The sequence below is a fragment of the Homo sapiens genome, chromosome 13 (genome assembly GCF_000001405.40).
Source record: "Homo sapiens chromosome 13, GRCh38.p14 Primary Assembly".
NCBI classification, from domain to species: Eukaryota; Metazoa; Chordata; class Mammalia; order Primates; family Hominidae; genus Homo; species Homo sapiens.
In genome coordinates, this window is record NC_000013.11 from 44,941,338 (window position 1) to 44,967,723 (window position 26,386).

General features: G+C 37.8%; 1 protein-coding gene across 2 annotated transcripts in view; it reads right to left on the reverse strand.

The window, feature by feature from the left end:
* The window catches only part of NUFIP1 (nuclear FMR1 interacting protein 1), a 50,223-nt gene that overhangs the window by 2,089 nt on the left and 21,748 nt on the right, over window positions 1-26,386 (reverse strand). The window contains exons 6-9 of one of the 2 annotated variants that reach the window (NM_012345.3): window positions 24,507-24,599; window positions 18,044-18,237; window positions 8,385-8,501; window positions 2,105-2,337 (exon numbers count right to left, since the gene is read on the reverse strand). In NM_012345.3, coding sequence (NP_036477.2) covers window positions 2,105-2,337; window positions 8,385-8,501; window positions 18,044-18,237; window positions 24,507-24,599 — 637 coding nt within the window. Of the gene's footprint in view, window positions 1-2,104; window positions 2,338-8,384; window positions 8,502-16,529; window positions 16,660-18,043; window positions 18,238-24,506; window positions 24,600-26,386 lie in introns of those variants that run through there. The other variant, XR_941559.3, reaches the window with a different exon arrangement.

The following is a 26,386-nucleotide window of genomic DNA, read 5'->3' on the forward strand; positions in this document are numbered from 1 at the left end:
AAAAAAGATGAGGTAGTAAATAAATTATATCTGGGAAATACAATCTAAAATATTGCATGTACCCTCACCATATAAAGAAGACAGAACAATAAGAAATATGTATTATATTCACTATTTTGCTAAAAAACGATGCAAGAACATGTCCTTTTAATTTATATCAAGACTATCTAGCTTTTTATTTATTTATTTATTTTGAGACGGAGTCTCGCTCTGTTGCCCAGGCTGGAGTGCAGTGGCGGGATCTCAGCTCACTGCAAGCTCCGCCTCCCGGGTTCACGCCATTCTCCTGCCTCAGCCTCCCGAGTAGCTGGGACTACAGACACCCGCCACCATGCCCGGCTAATTTTTTGTATTTTTAGTAGAAACGGGGTTTCACCGTGTTAGCCAGGATGGTCTCGATCTCCTGACCTTGTGATCCACCCGCCTCGGCATCCCAAAGTGCTGGGATTACAGGCGTGAGCCACCATGCCCGGCCAAGACAATCTAGCTTTTTAAACAGTACTAACGCTTATATTTGGAGTCCTCTCTAAGAGTATCTAGCATAGGACAGGAAAATAGGTTTAAACGTCTGCGATTCTTTTTTTTTTGAGACAGAGTTCCACTCTTGTTGCCTAGGCTGGAGTGCAATCATGCGATCTCAGCTCACCATAACCTCCGCCTCCCGGGTTCAAGCAATTATCCTGCCTCAGCCTCCCGAGTAGCTGGGATTACAGGCATGCTCCACCATGCCCGGCTAAAAAGTCTGCAATTCTTTAATCTAAAATTATGTCAAAGAGGATTGCCCAAACCCAAATTCATAAGCAGTCTAGAAATTGGTAAGTACATCTATTTACATGTAACAATGAAAATAGCAGTAAAAACTTCCAACATTCCTTGACTTTTATAACTTTCCATTTTTGTGCTTATTGTAATTAAAAGAAAGCTAGAAATCCCTGGTATTTAGAACAAGCACATAATCAAGGAATCACATGTAGTTTGCCAAAAAGGAATTTATTTTATTTTCTGGTGTTATTGATAGAGTTCAGAAACATCATACAGAAACTTTCAGTGGAAAGCTCACTTAATTTACCAATTATAAGGTAACTTTTTAAAATGTAATTTACTATGTATACAAAATGGAGCGTATATTTCAGATCCATTTTAATAGGAAGCAACTGTGCTACATGTAGCACCTCAAGAGTGTAGCCACTGAACACTTTAGCTACAAAATAAGTACTTAACTTGTAAGTCAAAACCAAACAGACTTTTCACAGAATGTCAAGTTTTATAACTCCACTAAAAAATGTAAAATACTTCTATTGCTTAGACATGAAAATCTTTGATTTTCAAACAGCTTCATGTCCACTACTGAGAACTTGAAGATGCATTGCTTCCTCTTTATAATTTGAAGAAAGCTATTAGATTTTTGAGCACATAATGCTGAGAATAAAGCCACGAATGCACAGAATAAACACAAATAAATAAAGGTGTACAAAGAAAAAAAATTAGCATGGTAGTGCATGCCCATAGTCCCAGCTACTTGGGAGGCTGGGGCAGTAGGATCACTTGAGCCCAGGAATTCGAGGCCACAGTGAGCTATGATCACGCCACTACACTCCAGCTTGGGTGACAAAGCAAGACCTCAACTCTTAAAAAAAAAAAAAAAAAAAATAGGTGGAGGAGGGAGGGAAGGAAGACAATCCCAGAAGATAACAAATGAGAATTGTCAGAAAACCTTAGGCCTTTCCTTTTTGTTACTGTATGGTTCTCAATAGACATTTGTACTAAAAATCTTTTTTTCCCTTCAGCTTGCCATTGTACTTTTAGCTGTGCTTTCACTGGAAACTTAAAAGAAAGTCAATAAACCTCAGTAGATACTTCCTTACCAACTAGTGAAACCTAAATTTATTTTAAGTGGTTGTAAAAATTACATTATTCCACATTCACTGAATATACCAGCTATATGCCAAATGTAGCTACAGAATTAAGATACAAAGTCTCCAAGGTCAATGTGTCTCTGGTAACCTTAAAACAAACACACACACACACACACACACACACCCCAGTGGCTCTATCTTTATGATGTGAGAACACAAAGATTAGAACCTAAAGAAAAATAATTTACCATTTCCAAGAGATATGGATGGTGTGTTCTTGGTTCGAATAACGTTTGATAGTTGTGATAATCTTTTTTCCTCTTAGGGTTTGTTTTTTCAAAGCTTTTCTTTCGGTTCTCACTCTTGGCTTCTGAAAAATTTCTAACAGTTGCTTTAACATCTTGACTTGGACTCTTAGGAGCACTGCTATCAAGAACCTGGTTTTCTGCCAAAACGTCTGCTTCAGTCTTGATGGGAGTTTCTAAGTGTGATGAAAAACAAACACAAAAATAAACAAAACAAAACAAAACAGGTAGACCTTTCAAAAGCAACCAACAAATCCATAATAATCCTCCTAGCCATAATATTGTTCACTTAATAACTTAAAACTATGAAAGATTTTTGCAAGGCATTTATAATGTATTCTAGTATTTTTCAAATTGGAAGCTGTAACTACCAAAAATTGAGAAGACTACCATGAAGAGCTACAGAAAGTGATCTCTATGAAAGAAATAATGCCAGATGGAAACTTGGATCTATACAAAGGAAGGATAAGTGCTGGAAAAAGTAAATATGTGAATAAATATAAAAGACTTTTTTTCCTCATTGGCAAAATTTTAAAACTAAAGCAAAAATATTAAGTGTATGTGCAATTTATAACATCTATAGAAATAAAATCTCTGACAACAATAGTAAAAAGGCAGAAGGAATATGTAAGTAGTATACACTGTAAAATCTTAAATTACATGTGAAGTAGATATCATTTGAAAGTACACGATGAAAAGTTAAGCTGCATACTATAAACTGCAGACCAACTCCTAAAAAGTAAAACAAAGAAGTCAAAAGGATGAAAGAAGATACCAAGCATATACCAATCACATGAACGCCGAAAGTCTGTATTAATGTCAGACAAAAAAGACTTCAGAACAGTGAACATCACCAGGGATGAAGTGGAACAGTTCATAATGCTAAAGGGGTCAATTCGTCAATAAGACAAAGAATAACACCTAAGAACAGATTTTCAATATGCATTGCAGCGAAAACTGATAGAACTGAGAAGAGAATTAGACAAATCCATTATTATGATTGAATATTGAACGTTCCAATCTCAGTAATTAAAGAAAAATTGGACAGAAAATTCGTAGGGATACAAAATATCACTAACGATTAACTCAAATTGACAAAGAACACCCGACCTAATACATTTTCTTGTCAAGTTCATATGAACATTTACCTTGTGTTGGGCCATAAAATAAGTATCAATAAATTGAAGAAATTGAAAGTATAGAGATATGTTCTCTGACTGTAGCAGAATTAAACTAAAATCATTAACAGAAAACTAGCTAGAAAACCCCCAAATATTTAGAAACTAAACAACACACTTCTAAATAATCCAAGAGTTAAAGAACAAATCATAAGAGAGATTAGGAAATATTTTGAAATAAATAAAAATGAAAACATAATGTATCATATTTGTGGACTACAGCTAAAGCAGTTCATGAAGGTACATTTATGGCTTTCAATGCTTAAATTAGAAATGAGAAAAGTCTAAAATCAATTATCTATGCTTCTACTGTAATGTGTAGGGTCTGAGGAAAGAGGAAATACTAAAAAGTGAAAATCAGTGGATTAGAGTGAAAATCAATGACAACAGAGAAAAACCAACAAAACCAGAAGTTGGTTCTTTGAAAAGATTAATAAAATTAATAAATGCACCAAGACTTTTTGAGAAAAAGAGAAAAAAATCAATTAACAACTTGAGAAATAAAAGAGGAGGACATCATTATAGATCCTACAGATATCACAGGAAATATTATGAACTATATACCAATAAATTAACAACTTAGGTGAAGCAAATTCTTTTGAAAAACACAAATCATCAAAACCCACTCAAGAAGAAATAGGAAAATATGAATAGTCCTGGACCTATTAATGAAATTTAATTCATAATTTAAAACTTTCCCAAAAACAAAATGCCAGGTTCAGATGGCTTCACTACTGAATTCTACAAACAAGAAACAAAAAGAAAAACTGGTAGAAATCCTACACAAACCCTTAAAAAAGAGGAGGAAATAGATCCCTACTCATACCAAATCTCTTACAATAAAAGAAAACCATAGACTAATATCCCTCATGAACATGTATGCAAAACTCCTTAATAAAATATTAGATCAAATCCATCAATGTATTAAAAGGGTAATAGACCATGACCAAGTAGATTTTATCCTGGGAATACAGGCTGGTTTGACATTTGAAAATCAATTGACATTTCACCATTATTAACAGAATAAAGGAGAAAAACCATATGAACAGTTGAAAATTCACAAATTTTAAGCTCAGAATCTTCACCTCTCCCCACTCCCCAATAGTTATACTATTTACTTACTATGAATCAGTGTGATATGATATAAAGAATTCTATTCTAGAAGTTGGGAGACAGGGTTCAATTGCCTAGACAAGAGTGGCAAAACCCATAATACTCAAACATTACATAGGACTGAATGTAGAAATTATATTTGAAAAGAAGTATAGGGACAAGTGTTAAAAGCAGACTCTGGTGCCAGACTGTTAGGTTCAAATCCTAGTTCCATCATTTACTAGCTGTGTGACCTTTGGGCAAGCTACTTATCTCTACCTAAATCTCTTCATCTATAAAATAGAGATGATAAATAAGAAAAACCAGGACACTATTTTCTATTATTCCCTTCCCCTCAAGTATCGATCACTCAATTCAGGAACACAAAGTCAAATGAATCAGAGCTTATAATTGTCAATTTTCTGCTAAGAAATGAGGACGGGACTAACATTTATATTTTTCTCTTTCTTGAGATTTACAACATTTCCCAGATAAGTATCATATATTAATGTAATGTTCACCAATTAAATTTTAAATATAGCTCATTCAGTTCTATCAAACATTTAACACCCTTTTTGGTTTGTGGCCTTCTGAAATAGTCTTTAATTTGGAAATCTCCCCCATTATAGCCAAATCAGTTTGAGGAAACATAATTTTGGGGAGTTGTAAAACTGTGCTTAAATTCTAACACAGTTAAAAAAATGCTAAAATGCTAACATGCAGAATAGATATTAAACCAACCCATTTGGAAGTATTTCTTATTAAATTTGTATCTTAGTGATTCTTACAGACCCTGATGTGAGTATTACCTCTTCCTTTGCTTCAGTCTTACTTGAGGGACACTTTCCTTGTTTAAATATCTTTCCAGAAAAATGCTATCCATGTTTAAGATTCCAAACACTTTCATGCTAATTCTTAAGTCAAGACAGATCTTAATTATGAAGACACAATTGTTAAACTCAGGAAGAAACAGATTGTTCCTATATATTTAGAATCCAGGTAAATAAGCAGCCTTCTAGATACTATTTCATGGTTAAAAGACCACTTTGTTTCCTTGGTATTATTTATTTAAAACTCCCTATGTGTCAATATCCCATCCTAGAGCCCAGAATTAATACTGAAAGCTAGAAATTTGCTAGTGACCTGGATGGCTTAATAAAGCTGAATTCAAATTATATAAAATAATTCTTAAGACTTAGGAATGTGAAGCAAGGGTTTTTTCCTTAAAGCAGGACATTTTAACAATTAGTCAAAATACATTCATACAAAATCTTATATATAGTTTAACAGATAATATCCTTTGTTATCTATAAAAGAAAAGTCTACGCATTATTGTGCAGGATGACAGTAAATGCCAAAGAGAGAAAGACTATAATGGAAGGCAATGAAAGTTGGCTTCTTCGGACTTTTAAGACTCCAAACCTATATGTCAGGTCTGCTACATACCAGCTTGCCAAGCTTATTCCTTTTTTTTTTTTTTTTTTTTTTGAGATGGAGTTTTACTCTGTCACCCAGGCTGGAGTGCAGTGGTGCGATCTTGGCTCACTGCAACCTCCACCTTCTGGGTTCAAGCAATTCTCCTGTCTCAGCCTCCTGTGTAGCTGGGATTACAGGCGCACACCACCACACCAGGCTAATTTTTGTATTTTTAGTAGAGATGGGGTTTCATCATGTTGACCAGACTGGTCTTGAACTCCTGACCTCCGGTGATCCACCTGCCTCGGCCTCCCACAGTGCTGGGATTGCAGACATGAGCCACCGTGCCCGACCAAGCTTATCCTTTCTATGCTTAAGGTTCTATAAAATAAAGAGGTGATCTCAAAGATCCCTTCCAGTTTCCTTTCTTCCAATTTAAAATGATGGCAGTCTCAAAATGAAGACATGAGTATAAAAATACTGTTCCATCTTAAGAAACAGAGAAGCAAGCATTAGTCCAGCCTGTTTTTATGGGATTCTGTAATTCTGGTAATAGTTTTCTTTGCTATCACCTGTTATGAATACAACTGATAAGCAGGAAATGTAATATGTGTTTAAAGAATAACTCCATCTTCACACCAATGTATGAGAAACAAGAGCACAAAAAAATGCTATTTTTCTTAAAATTAAAATAGGCAACCATCTGTTAAGGAATACTGTGATAAAGCCAAAGTAGCTTATATTTCAAAATTCAAGTAGCTATTAAGAAGCTACCATAGTAAGCCATGGCCCACTTAAAAAAGAAAAAACTTCCCATGTTACAGATACATGTAAACACCATTTTTCATATTAAAGCCTAACGGCTCCTTATTCAACATCTTCCAAATACATAAACATTGATTATCTCTAGCCTAGTCAACATTAAAAGTGCTGCCATCTCCATCAAACTACATTTCCTTTTTTTTTTTTTTTTTTTTTGAGCCAGAGTCTCACTGTCACCCGGGCTGGAGTACAGTGGCACAATCTCACCTCACTGCAACCTCTGCCTCTTGGGTTCAAGCAATTCTCCTGCCTCAGCCTCCTGGGTACTGGGACTACAGGCACGTGCTGCCATGCCCGGCTAACTTTTGTATTTTTTGTAGAGATGGGGTTTCACCATGTTGGCCAGGCTGCTCTCGAACTCCTGACCTCAGGTGATCCACCCTCCTCAGCCTCCCAAAGTGTTGGGATTACAGATGTGAGCCACCGTGCCTGGCCCATCCAATTACATTTGAATCTTCTCTTCATTCTATATAAACACTTTTAGACCTGTATTCTTATTCTCAGCACAGCTCCTACTTTGATTACACATCTTGTCCTGAGACATAGACATGAATTTTCTCACGGCTGGTAAAGTCTAAATAAAATGACCACACAGAGCCAGGTGTCCACAACAGTGGAACATAGATTTATTCATTAAACATATGCTGGATTATTGATATAAACCTTGGATTAAAAACTGCTACACTGCATCAGATCAAGAGCCTACTCATGGCTCTTTCAGGTAGCCCTGAAAGAGATGCTGAAGGAAATTAAACTGGTTTATCACAATTAAATTTCACAATGAAGCCTCACACGTTACCATCCGTAACATCATCTTTAAAGGTAAGACATGTATTCTGAAAGTTACTGACTTCTCAGAAAGACTCTTGAAAAGATTCAATTTCTTCCGACCTTTAAAATGCACAAGCTAATGCAGACACAAGTATAAGGTTGTTGTGTTTTCCAAATGAGATAATTTATGTAAATATGCTCTAGGAAGAACAATGCCCTATATGCATTAAAAAAATTGTATCACACTCTTTGTCATAAAAGATCTCTCTCCATCTACCAAAGATGCTATAAACACGTTATAACAAGGGTTCTTCAGAGCAGAGAGAAAAAAATGAATTTTCTTTTTGCCATTTCGTTTAGAATTTTCTTCAGTTCTGTTAGTGGATATTTTCTTTTCCTTCCTATTCTTTCATTATATTGTATTTTTTTTTTTTTTTTTTTTGAGACGGAGTCTCGCTCTGTCGCCCAGGCTGGAGTGCAGTGGCGGGATCTCGGCTCACTGCAAGCTCCGCCTCCCGGGTTCACGCCATTCTCCTGCCTCAGCCTCCCAAGTAGCTGGGACTACAGGCGCCCGCCACTACGCCCGGCTAATTTTTTGTATTTTTAGTAGAGACGGGGTTTCACCGTTTTAGCCGGGATGGTCTCGATCTCCTGACCTCGTGATCCGCCCGCCTCGGCCTCCCAAAGTGCTGGGATTACAGGCGTGAGCCACCGCGCCCGGCCTATATTGTATTTTTTTGCCTTTTTATTCCCAGAGTAGCAACACATTTCTTTATTACTCCAGAGTTCCTTTAACCCATGTTAACTTTACTTCTGATTCAAATGGAAAAGGAATTTGAAAACCAAATAAAGGATGCACATCCTGGATGTTATTAATGCGCAGCATGCACAAAAGGCAAAAAGCAACAAAACAAAACCCTGTAACAACACACACCATGACTTACCTTCTGGCTCACTCTCTGACCCTGAAAGACTGCCATAGCTACTCATTAGTGAGCATAGGGCTGGTGTCACTTCCTTGGGTATCACAGAATGTTGTGGTTTCTCCTCCTTATCAGACTCTGAAGGGAAAAGAAGTCAGATTCAAAACATCTACCACCATAAAAAAGCTGTCCATCCCCCATTCCCTCATTTGTTAGTGAAAATTAAGTAATTTCTGATCATTTCCTTAATCTTTCCAAAAGACTAATTCTAGGGGGCCAGAAACACTTCCCCTTGGTTTAGACATCTTCATGGGCCAAGAAACCATTTGCCCCAGAGGAGACAGTGAGGGAAAAGGAAGCTATATAGAGCTCAGTTACTTAGCATGCTTCACAGGTTATACAATCTGAGCATACTCTAAATTAACTTAATTACATAGTCTTTGCTGTTCATTTACAGGTAGTAGGAAGACCCAAACTTTATTTAACTTCACTGGATTGGGATCACTGCCTCTGAAAATTAGGTTTAGAAATAAATGAAGTATTAAAATACCTATGCTTTTAACTGTTTTTAAGACTGTTTTTGGGGATCCAAATAATATTCAAAGCATTCTATAGGCTTAGTCAAACAGTAATGCTGGAATTAATCCACCCAAAGTTTTTTTAGAGACAGAGTCTTGCTCTGTCACACAGGCTGAAGTGCAGTGGCATAATCTCGGCTCACCACAACCTCTGCCTGCCAGGCCCAAGCAATTATCTTACCTGAGCCTCCTGAGTAGCTGGGATCACAGGCGTGTGCCACTATGCCCAGCTAATTTTTTGTATTTTTAGTAGAGATGCGGATTCACCATGTTGGCCAGGCTGGTCTCAAACTCCTGGCCTCAAGTTGATCAGCTTGCCTTGGCCTCCCAAAGTGCTGGGATTACAGGTGTGAGCCACTGTGACCAGCCCACTCAAAGTTTTTATTATTTAAAACTTCTAAGAACTTAAATAAACAAGGCAACCATGAGAATTTACCAAGCATAATACTAAAGTGCCTGCCAAATATAAAGTGTTTGATCCAGGCCCAGCAAGCCTAGTTGTAGCCCCAGGACACCACCTATTACATTTCTTTTTGGCAGCTCTAACAATCTAGTAACTCTATTCTAGACAACCAATAAAAATAAGGCCTCACTGAAGACAATAAGTAATTTGTCTATTTAATTAACCAACTCAACCTAAAACCAATATAAAATGTTTCAAGACTAAGCATTTAATGTTCACCAAGTCAGTCTAGGGGAAACCAAAGCATGCCAGTAGGAAATGGGAATATCTTTCTATGTGAATGTTCAACTGCCACCTTCTGCTGGATGGAGCTAAATCCTCTCTCCTCACTACACACCATCACACCTATAAAAGTACTCCTTGTCAATTTTAAGCTAAGTTACCTTTACTCCTTGATTAATAAAGGGAAAGGAAAGTATGAAGTTTATGTGAATTACTAGTAGATTAAGCAGAAATCCACCACAGTGTTAGTATGGAGACTTCCCATTCATTGGCTGAATGATGAAAGAAAAAACTGCAGCATTTATTTCCAAGACTCAAAGAGAGGTAACAAAAAGTACAGTAATAGTTGAATATTATGCTCTTCAAAAGCATGATCTGACCTAATCCTTATGAGGTATGTGATGAGGGATGAAACAAAAATCCAGAGAATTTGAGTAACCTTTCCTTAAGATAACTATAAATCAGTTGGGTCAAATTTAAAGCCTGGCTATCTGACTCCAAATCCAAATTGTTACCAGTGAGCTAGAATGCTTCCCACAGACAAAGTCTTCTTAAAATGAAGCCATCCTATCAAAGTGTCTTTATGGTCCACAATAATGCTAATAATGTCTCCCAGCTATAGCTCCATTTCTTTCCTCCCTTTTATAGTAAAACTCCAAACAGTTATTTGATATGCAATCATACCTTGGAGATATTGTAGATTTGGTTCCAGACCACTGCAATCAAGTGAATATGGCAATAAAGTAAGTCACACAAATTTTCTGGTTTCTCAGGGCATATAAAAGTTATGTTTACACTATACTGTAGCATATGAAGTGTGCAATAGCATTATGTCTTAAAAAATGTACCTTAATTTAAAAATATTTCATTGCTAAAAAATGCTAAAACTCATCTGAGACTTCAGGGGATTGTGATATTTTTGCTGATGGAGGGTACTGTCTTGATGTTGCTGGCTGCTGACTGATCAGGGTTGTGGTCACTAAAGGCTGGGGTGACTGTGGCAGTCTCTCTGCCTTGACTGCTATTCCCTTAGGTATCAGCCTCGCATTTCATTCAGATGTCTTAATGTCACCTTATTAGAGATGCCTTTACTGATCACTTCAGATAAAAGCACATATCCCCTTTTCTGACCACCATTCTCTATTATTTTACTCAGCTTCAATCATCTTGATAATTCTGTTTTTTTGTTTTTGTTTTTGTTTGAGACAGAGTTTCACTCTGCTGCCCAGGCTGGAGTGCAGTGCATTCTACCTCCTGAGTTCAAGCGATTCTCCCCTTAGCCTCCTAAGTAGCTGGAATTACAGGCACGTGCCACCACACCAGGCTAATTTTTGTATTTTTAGTAGAGACGGAGTTTCACCCTGTTGGCCAGGCTGGTCTCGAACTCCTTACCTCAAGTGATCTGCTCACTTTGGCCTTCCAAAGTGCTGGGATTACAGGCATGAGCCACTATGCCCAGCTCCCACATTTTCTATATTACTTTTATAATCAGAAAATAACAGAAAAAAATAAAAACAAAGGGAAATTGACTCTGGAAAACTGTATTCTTCACAATCCAATTCATGAAGCCGAGGGCAAGGCTTTAATGTCCTTTCCCTCCTCCCTTCTTTTTTAAACTTTGTATTTTGAAACAATTTTGGATTTATACAAATGTTGCAAAGATAGTACAGAGTCTCCATATATCCTTCATCCAGCTTCCCTGATGTTACCATCTGACATAACCAAAGTACTTTATGATAGCTAAGAAGTTAACACTGGTACCACACTAGTATTTAAACTATAGACTGTAATGTAATTTCACCAGCTTTTCCACTAACGTCCTTTTTTCTGTTCCAGGATACAATCTGCTATACTACATTGCATTCGGTTGTCATGACTCCTTAATCTTCTTTAAATCTGTGACAGTTTCTCAGTCTTTCCTTGTTTTTCCTGAACTTGATACTTTGAAGATTATTGTCAGGTATTTTTAGAATGTCCCTCAGTTTGGGTCTGTCTGACATTTTTGAAGATTAGACTGAGGCTATGGATTTTGAGAAGGAATACCACAGAGATGTGCCCTTCTCATCACAACCCAGGTCCATAATATCAGTAGGACTTATTACTGGCAATGTTGACCTTGACCACTTTATGGTCTGCCTGCTTTCTCTACTACAAAGTTACTATTTTTCTCTTTCATTATTCTATTTCTTGAAATGAGTTACTAAGTTTAGCTCACACTCCAGGGAAGAAGAATTAAGCTTCAACTCAAGTAAGGAATATCAAAGAATTTTCGACATATGTTAAAACCATGGTAATTAATAATTATTATAATTAATAAATATTTTGGGGGGAGATATTTTGAGGCTATAACAAATATTGTTTCATTTTAACGTTTCACCACTAATTTTACCATTCATCAGTGGATCTTGCCCAAAACAATTATTACTGTGGTGCTCTAATGCTGACTTGCTATTTCTCTCATTTCTTCTACATTTAATAATTAGAATTATTTTGTAAGAAAGACCTGTCCCTCCTCCCCCACATTTATTTATTTATTTAGGCACTCATATCAGTATAGACTCATGGGTATTTATTCTATTCTGAGGGTTATAATTTATTATTATTTATTTTGTGGCACCAATTGTTCCAACTTTGGCCCTTGGGAACTCTTTCTAGTATCCTTCTGACATACCCACATCTTCACATTTTTTTAGCATTTTCTTACTTTCTGGCGCTATGAGATGCTCTAGGTTCAGCTTATATTTTCCCTGTCCCAACCCCAGAATCAGTCATTTCTCCAACAGGCTCTGGTTCCTTTACCTGGAGAATAGTATTTGGAAACCACAATTAGAGTGCTAGGTATACTTGTTCCTAGGAGTGTCAAAGCTCACTATACTTGACTTACCTAAAGGGTAAGTTACAAATTCACACAAATAAACAACTCTTTCCCTATTTTTTCTTCTCCACTCAGTTAAATGTTTAAGGGACAAACCATATGTAATAACACTTTGAAAAATACTGTCCTTTTGGCACTCTCAGAACATCTCCTACAGTAACTTTTCATCTTAAAAAGAAAGAAAGAAAGAAAGAAAAGTCCCTGGGATCTACCTAGTAGTTCTAATGCAGGCATTTTTAGCACCTATAGGTAAAGACTATGCTGAAGGCATTGTACTGGCTGACAAAATAATACTCAAGAAACTTCATTTTATAAAAACAGCTAAAACATCTTTCTAAACTGAAAATACCAGCATAGAGATAGCAGCAATTGATCTGACAGAACCAGACTTTAGCATTTTTATAAAATACGAGCTCAAACAATTTCTTTTACCATTAAAACATTAGCGACACTTTTCTTAGGGTAAATCTCACCTCTCTCGTATACACACATCATGTTCCCACCATCCCCCCCTAAAAAAATCTAATGCAATGATCTAAAAATTATTCTTAGACTATGAGTTTCTGGAAGGCAGGGAGACTCCTTTGAAATCCTCGGCATTATAGTGGATTACAGTGCTGGGTAAGCCAAACGCAGGACCTTATAAATCCCCACTGAAAGGAAAGTAGCAAAATAACATTGCCCTTTGAATGCCTTGTCCGCTCTAAACACCAACTGTAAAAGCTTCCTATCTGGCTTCTTCCTGTAACTTATTTCTTTACTTACTTATCCGTACCCCCTGCCCACCAACCCCCATCCCACGATTTCCTATTGCCTTTATGGAGCAAAGCACAATTATATGCTCTAGCCCAAGATTTGCAATTAAGTATTCTTTAAAAAATGCAATATATTTTCAAAGTCACCCTCAAAAATAGGGACTTTGCTTTATAGTCTCCAGCTCTCAAAGAAGACAGTTACCAGTGGGTATCCATGACACCTGATGTGCTGGGCCAGTTTATTTTCTTATTTTAATGCCTACCTTTAAAACAACCTAGGTTACGTGAGTGCATAGTTAGACTTACGTCCCAGTGTTCTACGACAATAGCTGTATTTCAACAAATGACTAATAAGTTGGGTTGCCTTTGTCTTGTGGATGCTGAGGCACTTCAGTCACAGATGCTCAATGCTACCTTACTGACCCACTTTCTTCCTAGCTGAGACAACTGACTTACTGTTTAAAACTACAGGCTAGGAAAGCCATAAACTTGTTGCATATATATTTTAAACAATGGCAACAAAATGAACTGGATGCTAACTAATGAGATACCAAAATAAACAAAGAAAAAACAATCCTTAAGTTAGGCCAGTCAGCAGAATACACAAGGAAATAAAAAAATATGCTAGTAAGGAAATCTAATGACAGACAATAAGCCACACTCAAAACTGATAAATTGGGAGACTTCTTTAAATAAAAGGCTTTCCCATCAAAACAATGTCAATTCTCAATTCAAAGTAGCTGCACAATTACTGAGAGTACACATGGCACCAAATACAATACAGAAAAGGTGAACCCAGGCAATGATTTTCCAAGCATGATCTGAAAGTTATGAAGATCCTCTAGAACTTGAGTCTTGTTTAAAATGTGAGTGCTGATGTCTGGATTAAGTTCTGAGCCAGAAAAAGGCAAAAAATGGAAGCAATAGGGAGAGCTTTATTATTAAAGTGAGCTTAGTGCTGAAAAGTATCAACTGCCATATGAGAACAGTGGGTCTTGTTATCACAGTGCTGGCCGCTGGCCTGCCACTGACAACTTGAATAACCAGATTTTAAGGTTGGCTGGCTCTTGCCCAAGGTAAGAGAAGCTGCCTCCAAACAAGTGGAAAACATATATTGGAGAGTGGAGAATATTTACGGCAGGGGTGTCCAATCTTTTGGCCTCCCTGGGCCGCATTGGAAGAACTGTCTTGGGCCACACATAAAATATACTAAGAACAGCTGATGAGCTTAAAAAAAAAAAAAATCACACAAAAGAATCTCATATTTTGGCCGGGCGCGGTGGCTCACGCCTGTAATCCCAGCACTTTGGGAGGCCGAGGCGGGTGGATCACGAGGTCAGGAGATCGAGACCATCCTGGCTAACACGGTGAAACCCCGTCTCTACTAAAAATACAAAAAATTAGCCGGGCGAGGTGGCGGGCGCCTGTAGTCCCAGCTACTCGGGAGGCTGAGGCAGGAGAATGGTGTGAACCCCAGGGGGCAGAGCCTGCAGTGAGCCGAGATTGCGCCACTGCACTCCAGCCTGGGCGACAGCGAGACTCCGTCTCAAAAAAAAAAAAAAAAAAAAAGAATCTCATATTTTAAGGAAGTTTACAAATTTTTGTTGGGCTGCATTCAAAGCCATCCTTGGCTGCATGCAGTCCATGGGCCATGGTTTGGACAAGCCTGACTTAGGACATATGAAAACGGGGATAGATTGTCTGTAGCTATACCTGCAGTGAAAAGTTAAAGAACCTATGGCCTAAAACAACGGTCCCCAGCCTTTCTGGCACGAGGGACCAGTTTTGTGGAAGACAATTTTTCCAAAGACAGAGGGTGGGGGGTGGATTGGGGATGGTTTCAGGATGATTCAGCACATTACACTTACTGTGTACTTTATATTACTATTACATTGTAATATATAAAATAATTGTACAATGCACCATAATGTAGAATCAGTAGGAGCCCTGAGCTGTTTTCCTGCAACTAGACAGTCCCATCTTGGGATGATGGGAGACAGTGACAGATAATCAGGCATTAGATTCTCATAAGAAGCACACAACCTAAATCCCTCACGTGCACAGTTCACAATAGGGTTCACGCTCCTATGAGAATCTAATGCTGCTGCTGATCTGACAGGAGGCGGAGCTCACAGGTAGTAAGGCAGGCAATAGGGAATGTGTAAATACAGATGAAGCCATGCTTGCTCGCTGCTCCCCGCCTCCCCATCCCCGCTCCCCCCTGGGGTTCCTAACAGGCTAAGGAACTGTACCAGGTACCAGTCTGTGCCCAGGGGTTAAGAACCCCTGGTCTAAAACAGATTTGGAAAATGTCAAAGTCCAGAGGAAATCCCAGGTAAAGGATAAGGTGAATTTAAATGACAGCTTTCCTACAAACTTAAGCTACCATAATTTGATCATTGGCATTGTGATTTCCTTGGTTATAATACAATATTATAAAAATTAATAAATTTTTAAATATTCAAAATTATAAATTTGTAGTCTATATGGGTAATTTTTATATTCAAGATACAGGTTCTCATCTTTGACACTCGAAATAGGCATGTTCCCATCCTTGACCCTCATTATAGGTAAGGGTTTCAACATTTAAACCAAAACAAAATTATTTGAGATTTCTCTTTCTTTTTTCTTTTTTGAGACCGAGTTTTGCTCTTGTTGCCCAGGCTGGAGCGCAATGGTGTGATCTCAACTCACTGCAACCTCCACCTCGGGGGTTCAAGCAATTCTCCTGCCTCAGCCTCCCGAGTAGCTGGGATTACAGGCATGCACCATCACACCCGGCTAATTTTTGTATTTTTAGTAGAGACAGGGTTTCATCATATTGGCCAGGCTAGTCGTGAACTCCTGACTTCAGTTGATCCACCTGCCTCAGCTTCCCAAAGTGCTGCAATTACAGGCGTGAGCCACCATGCCCAGCCTGAGATCTCTCTTTCAACTGCTCCTCAGAATCCAACTGAATTATTTCTACCAATAAGGATGAGAGGATTTACCACTGTTTCTCATGTCTAAGGCATCTACTGAGGACTAAGACAAGCTTAAATAGAAGCAAGATACAATCGTCTTTTAGTTGGTGTTTTACCAGATTAGTATATACTGAAATACTTTTTTTTTTTAAATAAAAAGGGAAAACAGAATTAACCATCTACCAAAGCTAAGTTAACAAAATGAAGAACAACAAAGACTATCCAATATCGGTCTTAGAGTCCTTCAAGTGTTCATTTAGAAAATTGCACAAAGTAAAAGATTTACATAATTTTCAAATTAGTAACTTACTGATTATAATGGTAGTCTTCACATTTGTGTTTTAAGTGTTTTAATGACATAAAAGCTTATATTTGAGTACAGATGGTCTTTTGTCATCAAGGCCACACATTACAAGTCTGAAGAAGCATGTGAGCTCTCTCTAAAATTTTTTGAAAGAAAACAAACAAAAAATCAGTGCCCAAGAGTACACTCAGCACTGGCTCAAAATATCATCTGCCTTTTTCTTGCTCTCTCTCACATCTCAACTATCCTAGACTCAAACAATATTTTTTTATACAAATTCAGACTTCATATTTAGAGGATGTGTAGTGTACTGGTGGAGTGAGACTCATATGTTCAAATTCTCATTCTGCCACTAATGAGCAGAATGACTAAGATAAACTATTAGGTTGATGCAAAAGTAACTGCATTTTTTACTATTACTTTCAATGGCATAAACATACTTAGTCTCTATGTTCCTCATTTCTAAAATGGTAACAGTAACGGTATATGTGTAAAAGGCTGTCATAAGAAGACTTCATCTATATAAAGCATATAGAGCTCAGTAAGTGCCTTATTCAGTGTTAGTTGATATTAATATATCATCATTAATGTTATTAAATTTTATCTTCTACTTAGCCTAATGTTCCCTTATGCAATGATCTTTTTCCATCCTAATTCAGTCAACGAATTAGTTATCCTCTCTTTTCTTGCCACTCGTAAGTTCAAAAACTTGCCATGTGATTATCATAGAAGCCAACATCATCCAAGCTAAACAGCCTACAATCAAATCTACAATGTCACTAATGTCAATTCACTCACTAATAATCTTTGGGTATTCCTTTGCAGTACAAAGCATATGCAATTAGATAAAGCCTCACAATGTTACTGGAGAAAAATGTAGTAAAAATATTTACATACACATTTCATTTTTCAGGAAGAGAAATGGAGTCTCAAAGGCTAAATGATATCTGTATGTGACACCAGCATTTTAATGCTTTTATTTTTCAACTAATAAGCAAGTTAACTTGCCCTATATGTTTTAGAGGAAATTCAAGGACAAACATATATAAATATAATCTATGCTCTGAAGAACAGTACTGATCAAACATAATGAATTAGTATTTTTTGCCCAGAGATCATGCTCATGCTCAGTAGCATAAAGTATACTGACTTCCGTTAGAATTGCTGCTTTATAGGTAAAGGGAAAATCCACATATTTGGGCAAATTTGAATGCACAGCATTAATACATTCAAAACAATCTTAAGAAATTTCTAAGATTACCTCATACTAATGAAAATTATCCAGCAAATACAGTCCTTCTCCTATAGCCTCCCTGCCCCATGTGCCCACCCAAGACTCAGAAAAGATGTTCTGAAATGACGTTTTAAACAAGATGCTCCTATTAAAAACAAAAACAAAAGCATCATTCTGCATTGTTATACATTTGATATTAAACTTTCCACAAGCAAGGCTGTGAATAATCAACTTCAGCATCATTGTCTATACACTTATAAATACGTTATTTTCCTGTTTAGCTTACCAGAATCACTGTTTATCAAAACACCAAGAGGATCTGCATTTGCCTCCGGTGGACCTTCTAGCTTCAAATCACACAAGTGACTGCCTGATCCAGTGACTGCTCTCTGTCTAGAATTGTCGTTTTTCCATTTGTGATTCTTGCCAGGACTTCTGATCTTTGCCATTTGTGAATGTCTGGACATCCCCTTCATCTTGCTGGAGTAAGAAAATTGCAATTTTTAATATAAAAGGCACTGACCTTCCAAGAAAATTTTGAAAAAGACTACTAGATACAAAAGAAACCTAGCTGTAAAACTGATCACTTGTAGCCTAGTACATTAAAGAGACGAAAATAAAAGAAATTCCAGTGACTTTCAAAGACAGGGAAGCCTATGATAGAACTTTAGAAGGACAGCACCCCACAATATACCACACCTTCTTGATTCTACGCTGCAAATTTCTACCCATATTGTTATCCCTCTGAAATTGGGCTGTGTCGTATTATCATTAAAGGCCAATTTAACTGGCAGCATTATTTCATTCTTCTATTGTACATGAAAGTTTCTTTTTTCTTCTCTTTTTTTTTTTTTTGAGACAGAATCTTGCTCTGTCACCCAGGCTGGAGTGCAGTAGCATGATCTTGGCTCACTGCAACCTCCACCTCCCAGGTTCAAGCGATTTTCCTGCCTTAGCTTCCCAAGCAGCTGGGATTACAGGCACGTGCCACCACACCCAGCTAATTTTTGTATTTTTAGTAGAGTCAAGGTTTCACCATGTTGGCCAGGATGGTCTCGATCTTCTGACCTCGTGATCTGCCCACCTCGGCCTCACAAAGTGCTGGGGTTACAGGTGTGAGCCACTGTGCCCAGCTCAAAGTGTTTCTCAGAGTTTATAAAGTATGTTCACTCTTGTCTACTCATTTTATTTTGAGACGGAGTCTCACTCTGTCGCCCAGGCTGGAGTGCAATGGCATGATCTTGGCTCACTGCAACTTCCACCTCCTGGGTTCTAGCGATTCTCCTGCCTCAGCCTCCCGAGTAGCTGGGACTACAGGCACCCACCATCAGCCCGGCTAATTTTTGTATTTTTGTAGAGACAAGGTTTCACCATGTTGGCCAGGATGGTCTCGAACTCCTGACCTCAGGTGATCCACCCACCTCAGCCTCCCACAGTGCCAGGATTATAGGCATGAGCCACTACACCTGGCCTTGTCTACTCATTTTTAAGGAGTTAAAGTTTCTGAAGCATTTACAAATATGACTTGTTGGACCTTCATGAACCCTCTGAAATAGGTAACACAGGTACTATTTTCTCTGCTTTATAGGCCTATCAGAACACATAAGCCTATTGCAATTTCACAGCCAGCTCAAATCAAGTGCCCTCTCAACAGCTACAACTACTTTTAGAAAGAAAGCAAGTATTGGCCGGGCGCGGTGGCTCACGCCTTTAATTTCAGCACTTTGGGAGGCCAAGGTGGGCGGATCACTTGAGCTCAGGAGTTCGAAACCATCCTGGGCAACTTCGTCTCTACTAAAATACAAAAAATAAGCTGGGCACGGTAGCAGGTGCCTGTAGTCCCAGCTCCTCGGGAGGCTGAAGCACAAGAATTGCTTAAACTCGGGAGGTGGAAGTCACAGTGGGCCGAGATTGTGCCACTGCACTCCAGCCCGGGCAAAGTAAGACTCTGTCTCCAGAAAAAAAAAAAAAAAAAAAAGAAAGCACGTATTTATGTGAGCATCTTCTAATTTAAACTGTGTGTGTGTGTGCGGGGGCGGGGAAGACAGTTAAAAAAAGGTTCCTTCATAGTAGACAATAACACAAGGTATTCATTGGTGGGACTGAGTTTTTGCAAAGATAGGCTTTTGACAGTTTGCCATTTATTGGGCAAAATTCATTTTTCATTAATAATGGAGGATGCAGTAAATAATTAGAAATCTGCATCTAAATCTCAACTTTGTCAGTTATGGGCTGTGTCTGCTGTACAAATATTTGTAAGCCTAAGCCTGTTTACTCCTTTAAACAGAATGGGAATTATAGGGACATAGAATTCAGATAATATAAATACAGTACTTCACAGAGCAAGATAACACATTAAGCCCTTAATAAATGGTAGTTTACTATCATAACATTTTTGAAATAATTTGTTAAATCAACATGTTTATATATCTGCAATCCAGAGATTTTTAATCCCTTTAGGGTCATAATAACCCTTGGAGAATCTCATTACAAAAATTAATATATATGTATAGTCCAAATTTTGCAGAAAGCCATGGACCAATCTCCTATGTCCATCCACAGATGTCAGGCTAAGAACCTAACAGTGTCACTGCAAAGAAAACAGGTCTAGTTTCTGCCTCCAGCCCACTGGCCCCATAAGGATAATGAAGAGATGCCACTTTCTTTGAGCTCCCATTCACGGATGCCTTCCCCGTTATCTTTTCTCTTACAGCATCTGACCACAGCTAGCTTCTGAATGATCATCATTAAGGTATTCACTAATAAGTAATGAGTTAAGAAGATCCTTCACTAATGACATCTATAAGACTTAATTGAGAAAGTAGTGTATCTGTTATTTGCACTCTATTTCACCTTCAAGGGAGTAGTTCTGTTATACCACGACTTGACAATCATTTGAAAAGAAAAGTTTATGTAATCAACCATCTAAAAATAGTTACAAAAGGCATAATGTAAATAAAAATGTAGATGAATATAAAATGGAGAGATTAATAAAAAAAAGATTCCATCCAAAAGAAGGCAAGAAAGGAAGAACAAATTAAAAACCCAACTATATTAGGAATTACATTAAACGTAAATGAACTAAGCACTAGTTAAAAGGCAAAGATTTTCAGTTTGGATTACTAAGAAGACAAAATTACATAATATATAAGAGATACACTTTAAATATAGAGACACAAAAAGTTTAAAAGGAATAGGTTGTTGAAAACACGATCCTTTCTCCACTGCATTATATTGCCAGATTTATCATAAGTTAGGTGATTGTTTCTCAGTGGATCTGTTTGTGGGCTCTATTCTGCTCTACTTATCTATTTATCCTTGGACAACACCACACTATCTTCATTACTCGAGCTTTCTTAGTTGCTGTTCTAGATCCTTTGTATTTTCATATGCAATCATGCACCACATAATGACATTTTGATCAACAATGGACCACATATATGACAGTAGTCCTATAAGATTATAGCAGAGCTAAATAATTCCCAGTAATGTCATAACATCATAAAGTAAAAAATTACTTTTATAAAACAATTTAGTGTAGCCTATGTGTACAATGTTTGTAATGTCTACAGTAATGTATAGCAGCCTCCTGGGCCTTCACATTCACTCACCACTCACTCGCTGACTCACCCAAGGCAACTTCCAGTTCTGCACGTTCTATTCATGGTAAGTGTCCCATTCAGGTATACCATTTTTTGCCTTTAATGGTGCATTTTAATGAAACTTTTCTATATTTAGATACACAAATACTTAGCATTGTGTTACAACTGGATACAGTAACACACGGTACAGGGCTGTAGCCTAAGAGCAACAGGCTTTACTGCACAGCCTAGGTGTGTAGTAGGCTGTATTATCTAAGTTTGTTTAAGTATACTCTATGATATTCATAACGACAAAATTTCCTAACCCGTTTCTCAGAATGTATCCCTGTCATTAAGTGACACATTGTAATTTTAAAGCTTATCAATCTCCCCCATCCCTCCTCCACCAAAAAAAACAAAACAAAAAAAAAACTTGCTGGAATTTTGACTGTAATTAATTGGATTTGGGGGAGAATTAAGATAATTATATTGTTTTCCAGTCCATGACTATTATATATTGCTCCATTTATACAGGCCTTGAATTTTTCTGAGCAATGTTTTGTAGTTCTGAGTGTAGAATCTTGCACATCTTTTGTTAGGTTTATTCCTAGGCATTTGATGCTATTCTAAGTGGTATCTTTTAAATTTTCAATTTTTAATTGTTGCTACTTTATAGAAATAGAGTTGATTTTAAAAATATTGATCTTACATGTATTTGGCAACCTTGCTAAATTCATTTATAAAAGTGGTAACACTGGACATCCTTATCTTGCTTCTAATCTTAGGGGAGGTGGGGGAGTGATCACTATTGCACCATTAAGTACGATGTGGCTACAGAGTATTGATAGATATCCTTTATTAGATTAAAGAAATTATTTTCTATTACTAGTTTGCTAATATGTCTTTTTTATGAACAGGTGGTACATTTTATCGAACTGTTTTCCTTACTCATTAAGTTAATAGCATTTTCCTCCTTCACTTTGTTAATGTGATAAATAAACATGCTCCTGGAATAAATCCCATTTAGTCATGATGTTATATCATATTTTTACATATTTTTACATATTGCCAGATTTGATTTGCTAACATTTTGTATAGGATTTTTGTCTCTCTGCTCAAGAGTTGTGTTTCAAAATTTTCACTTTACATATTTTAAAGCTATGTTCTAGACACATACAGATTTAGAATTGGTATGTCTTCTTGTTGTTGCACTGACTCTTTTAACATTACAAAATATTCCTATTTATCCCTAATAACACATCTTGCTTTAACATCTATTTGGTCTGACATTAATATTGTTATACCAGGTTACTTTTGGTTGGGGTTTGCATGGTATAACAATTAGTGCTGGATCAACTGTAATTCATATGTGAAAAAGTTTTAAAGGTCCTTAAACCCTACACTATGTACAATAATTAATTCTAGACATATACCAGAAACACAAAGCAATAAATCTTCTAAAAGAAAACATAAAGAAATAGTTTTATGATCTCCAAGTAAGCAAAAGTTTTTTTTAAGGCAGAACACACACAGCACTGACCATAAAAATAAAAGATTAATAAATCAGACTTCATGAAAATTGAAATTTTTATTTATAAAAGACACCATTAAGAACTTCTGTTTCTGGCCAAAATAAAGTAACAGGGACTGAATTTATCCTCCTACCTGAAATAACCAAAAAACTAGCCAAAATGAATAAACGATGGTCTCTATGACACAGGGCATGAAGCAACAAGAGAAGTGAGCCCTGAAAGACAGAAAATAAATGAATAGTGAACCCTGCAACTGCCCTTGCTTACAGCCTTAAAGAGTTTCCAGACTGCGGAGAAGAGGAATCCAGATGGGACCTGGTAGAATCCCTGAATTGAGGAACTGGAGTTGAGACACCAGAGAGAGCAAGACATCTAGAGCTTCAGGATGTACCTGAGAGGAAAAAACTACAGAAAGAGAGAGAACTCTAGAGATTTGCAGAGGATTTACCCTGGACTATTTAGCAGAAGACTGATTGGCATGTATTTGTCAGGAAACTATCCAAGGTTGGGGGAAAAAAACGACCCAAAAGGATCAGAGTTATCAGCACCTCATCTTCACTCCGAGTCATAACTAGGGCCTGTTTGTACCTCATATTTCACAGGGCATGGGGTAAGATACCCAGTAAGATATTACATCAGTAGTGAGTAGTTAGTTTCAGACTAAACACTGCTCTGGTTTCATCTAACAAAATCTTAAAAGCAAGATCCAGAAGGATGAAACCGTTTCTAAGTAACTCAGTTGTCTTCCCAGAAAAAAGTTCAAGAACATTTATAGAAACACAAAAATATACAGCACCTGATGTGGTTTGGTTGTGTCCCCACCCAAATCTCATCTTGAATTGTAACTCCCACAATCCCACATGTCATGGGAGGAACCAGGTGGGAGGTGATTGGGTCTTTCCTGAGCTGTTCCTGTGATACTGAGTGAATGAGTCTCATGAGATCTGATGGTTTTAAAAAGGGGAGTTTCCCTGCACAAGCTCTCCTGTCTCTGCCTGCTGCCATCCATAGAAGATGTGACTTGCCCCTCTTTGCCTTCTTCCACAATTGTGAGGCTTCCCCAGCCACGTGGAACTGTAAGTCCAGTTAAACCTCTTTCTTTTGTAAATTGCCCAGTCTCGGGTATGTCTTTATCAGCAGCGTGAAAATGGACTAATACAGCACCCAATAATGTAAAATTTCCAGTGTCAAGTATCCAATCAAAAATTACCAGGCATGGGGCCAGGTGCGGTAATCCCATCACTTTGGGAGGCCAAGGTGGGCAGATCACGAGGTCAAGAGATCGAGACTATCCTGGCCAACATGGTGAAACCCCATCTCCACTAAAAATACAAAAATTAGCTGGGCGTGGTGGCGCACGCCTGTAGTCCCAGCTACTCGGGAGGTTGAGGCAGGAGAATGGCACAAACCTGGGAGGTGGAACTTGCAGTGAGCCGAGATGGCGCCACTGCACTCCAGCCTGGGCAACAGAGCGAGACTCCATCTCAAAAAAATAAATAAATAAAAATAAAAATAAATAAATTTATCTTTTTAAGTAAATAAGTTACAAAAGCAAAGATTTCATAATTGAGTACATAAGGGTTTTAAGATTTTGTTTTGTGCTCCTTTTCATTATTCATAAGCATAAGGAGCTTACCCATATTGTGTTGTTGTCAATACTGCTCCTCTCTTCTCCTTTTCAAGTTTTAACTTCTTCTTCCTTTCAATATTGGCCAGAGTTGGATAGTTTCTAGAAAATAATAAAAGTTAATTATAATAGGGCTTTTAGAGTACAATTTTAAATAAGCAATCAAGCAATTGCTGAATTTAGCAATTTTGTTTAACACCTAACACAGCAAATTATAAACCTTTAACTGCTTCTACAATTTTTTAAGAGGGAAAAAAGTACTTATAACAATGTTACTCAAAGTGTGGACCACCTGCTAATCCACAAACTTTGCTAGCAGTCTGCAACTAGACAAGTGTACACTGGAATTTAAATCAAATATATCATACAATGTGCTCAAACTGATTTAATTCATCTATATGGCATGTACCCATAAATACTGTAAAAAAAATTTTTAAGTCTATTCAATTTATTCTAGTCATTACCTTTTATTTCCTTCTTATTTATTTATTTATTTTTGAGTCGGAGTCTCGTTCTGTCACCCAGGCTGGAGTGCAATGGTGCGATCTCAGCTCACTGCAACCTCAGCCTCCTGGGTTCAAGCAATTCTCCTGCCTCAGCCTCCCAAGTAGCTGGGATTACAGACACCTGCCATCACGCCCAGCTAATTTTTGTATTTTTTGTAGAGATGGGGTTTCACCATGTTGGCCAAACTGGTCTTGAACTCCTGACCTCAGGTGACCCACCTGCCTCAGCCTCCCCAAATGCTGGGATTACAGGCGTGAACCATCACGCCCGGCCAAGTCTATCCAATTTCTTATGCAAATACATGCTAGGTATATCGAAGTTACCAAGACGAGGAGGAGACAGTTCTCAAAAAATATACACGGTGGCTCATGCCTGTAATCCCAGCATTTTGGGAGGTTGAGGTGGGCGGATCATTTGAGGTCAGGAGTTCGAGACCAGCTTGACCTACGTAGTGAAATACCATCTCTACTAAAATACAAAAATTAGCCAAGTGTGGTGGCGGGCGCCTGTAATCCCAGCTACTCGGGAGGCTGAGGCAGGAGAATCTCTTGAAACCAGGAGGTGGAGGTTGCAGTGACCTGAGATCGTGCCGCTGCACTCCAGCCTAGGTGACAGAGCAAGACTCCCCCTCAAAACATAAATAAATAAATAAATAAATAAAATAAAATAAAAAATATACTGTCTACCAGGAAGATAAGAAAAGCACACAAATAGTGATAACATAAGACAAAAGTACCCAAGAGGGTATAAAGACTGGGGGGTAGGGGTGGAATGGAAAGACTATATCTAATTGGAAAAATCCATAAAGAAAAGAAATGAAAGAAATTGGTCTTAAATGGTAACAGAAATCAGAGTATGTTAAGTAGGCCAAACAATGCAAACAAACCAAGACTTCAGAAAGTGAAAGAGGCCGGGTGTGGTGGCTCACGTCTGTAATCCCAGCACTTTGGGAGGTCAGGAGTTCGAGACCAGCCTGGCCAACACAGTGAAACCCCATCCTATTAAAAATAAAAAAAATTAGCTGGGCATGGTGGCGGATGCCTGTAATCCCAGCTACTCAGGAGGCTGAGACAAGAGAATTGCTTGAACCCAGGAGGTGGAGGTTGCAGTGAGCTGAGATCACGCCACTGCACTTCAGCCTGGGCGACACAGAAAGACTCTGTCTCACAGAAAAAAAAAAAGTGAAAGAGATATCTGGACAATGACAAGTAGTTAATATGGTATGAAACACAGTTACAGGCAATCAGACTGGAAAGGGAGACTCAGGCCAAAATGTGTCTTGAATACCAAACTAGAAAGTTTATATTTAATTCAGCAGGTGATAGAGAGCCACAGAAAGTTATGAACAGGGAGAGATATGTACAAAGCAGTGATTAAGATGA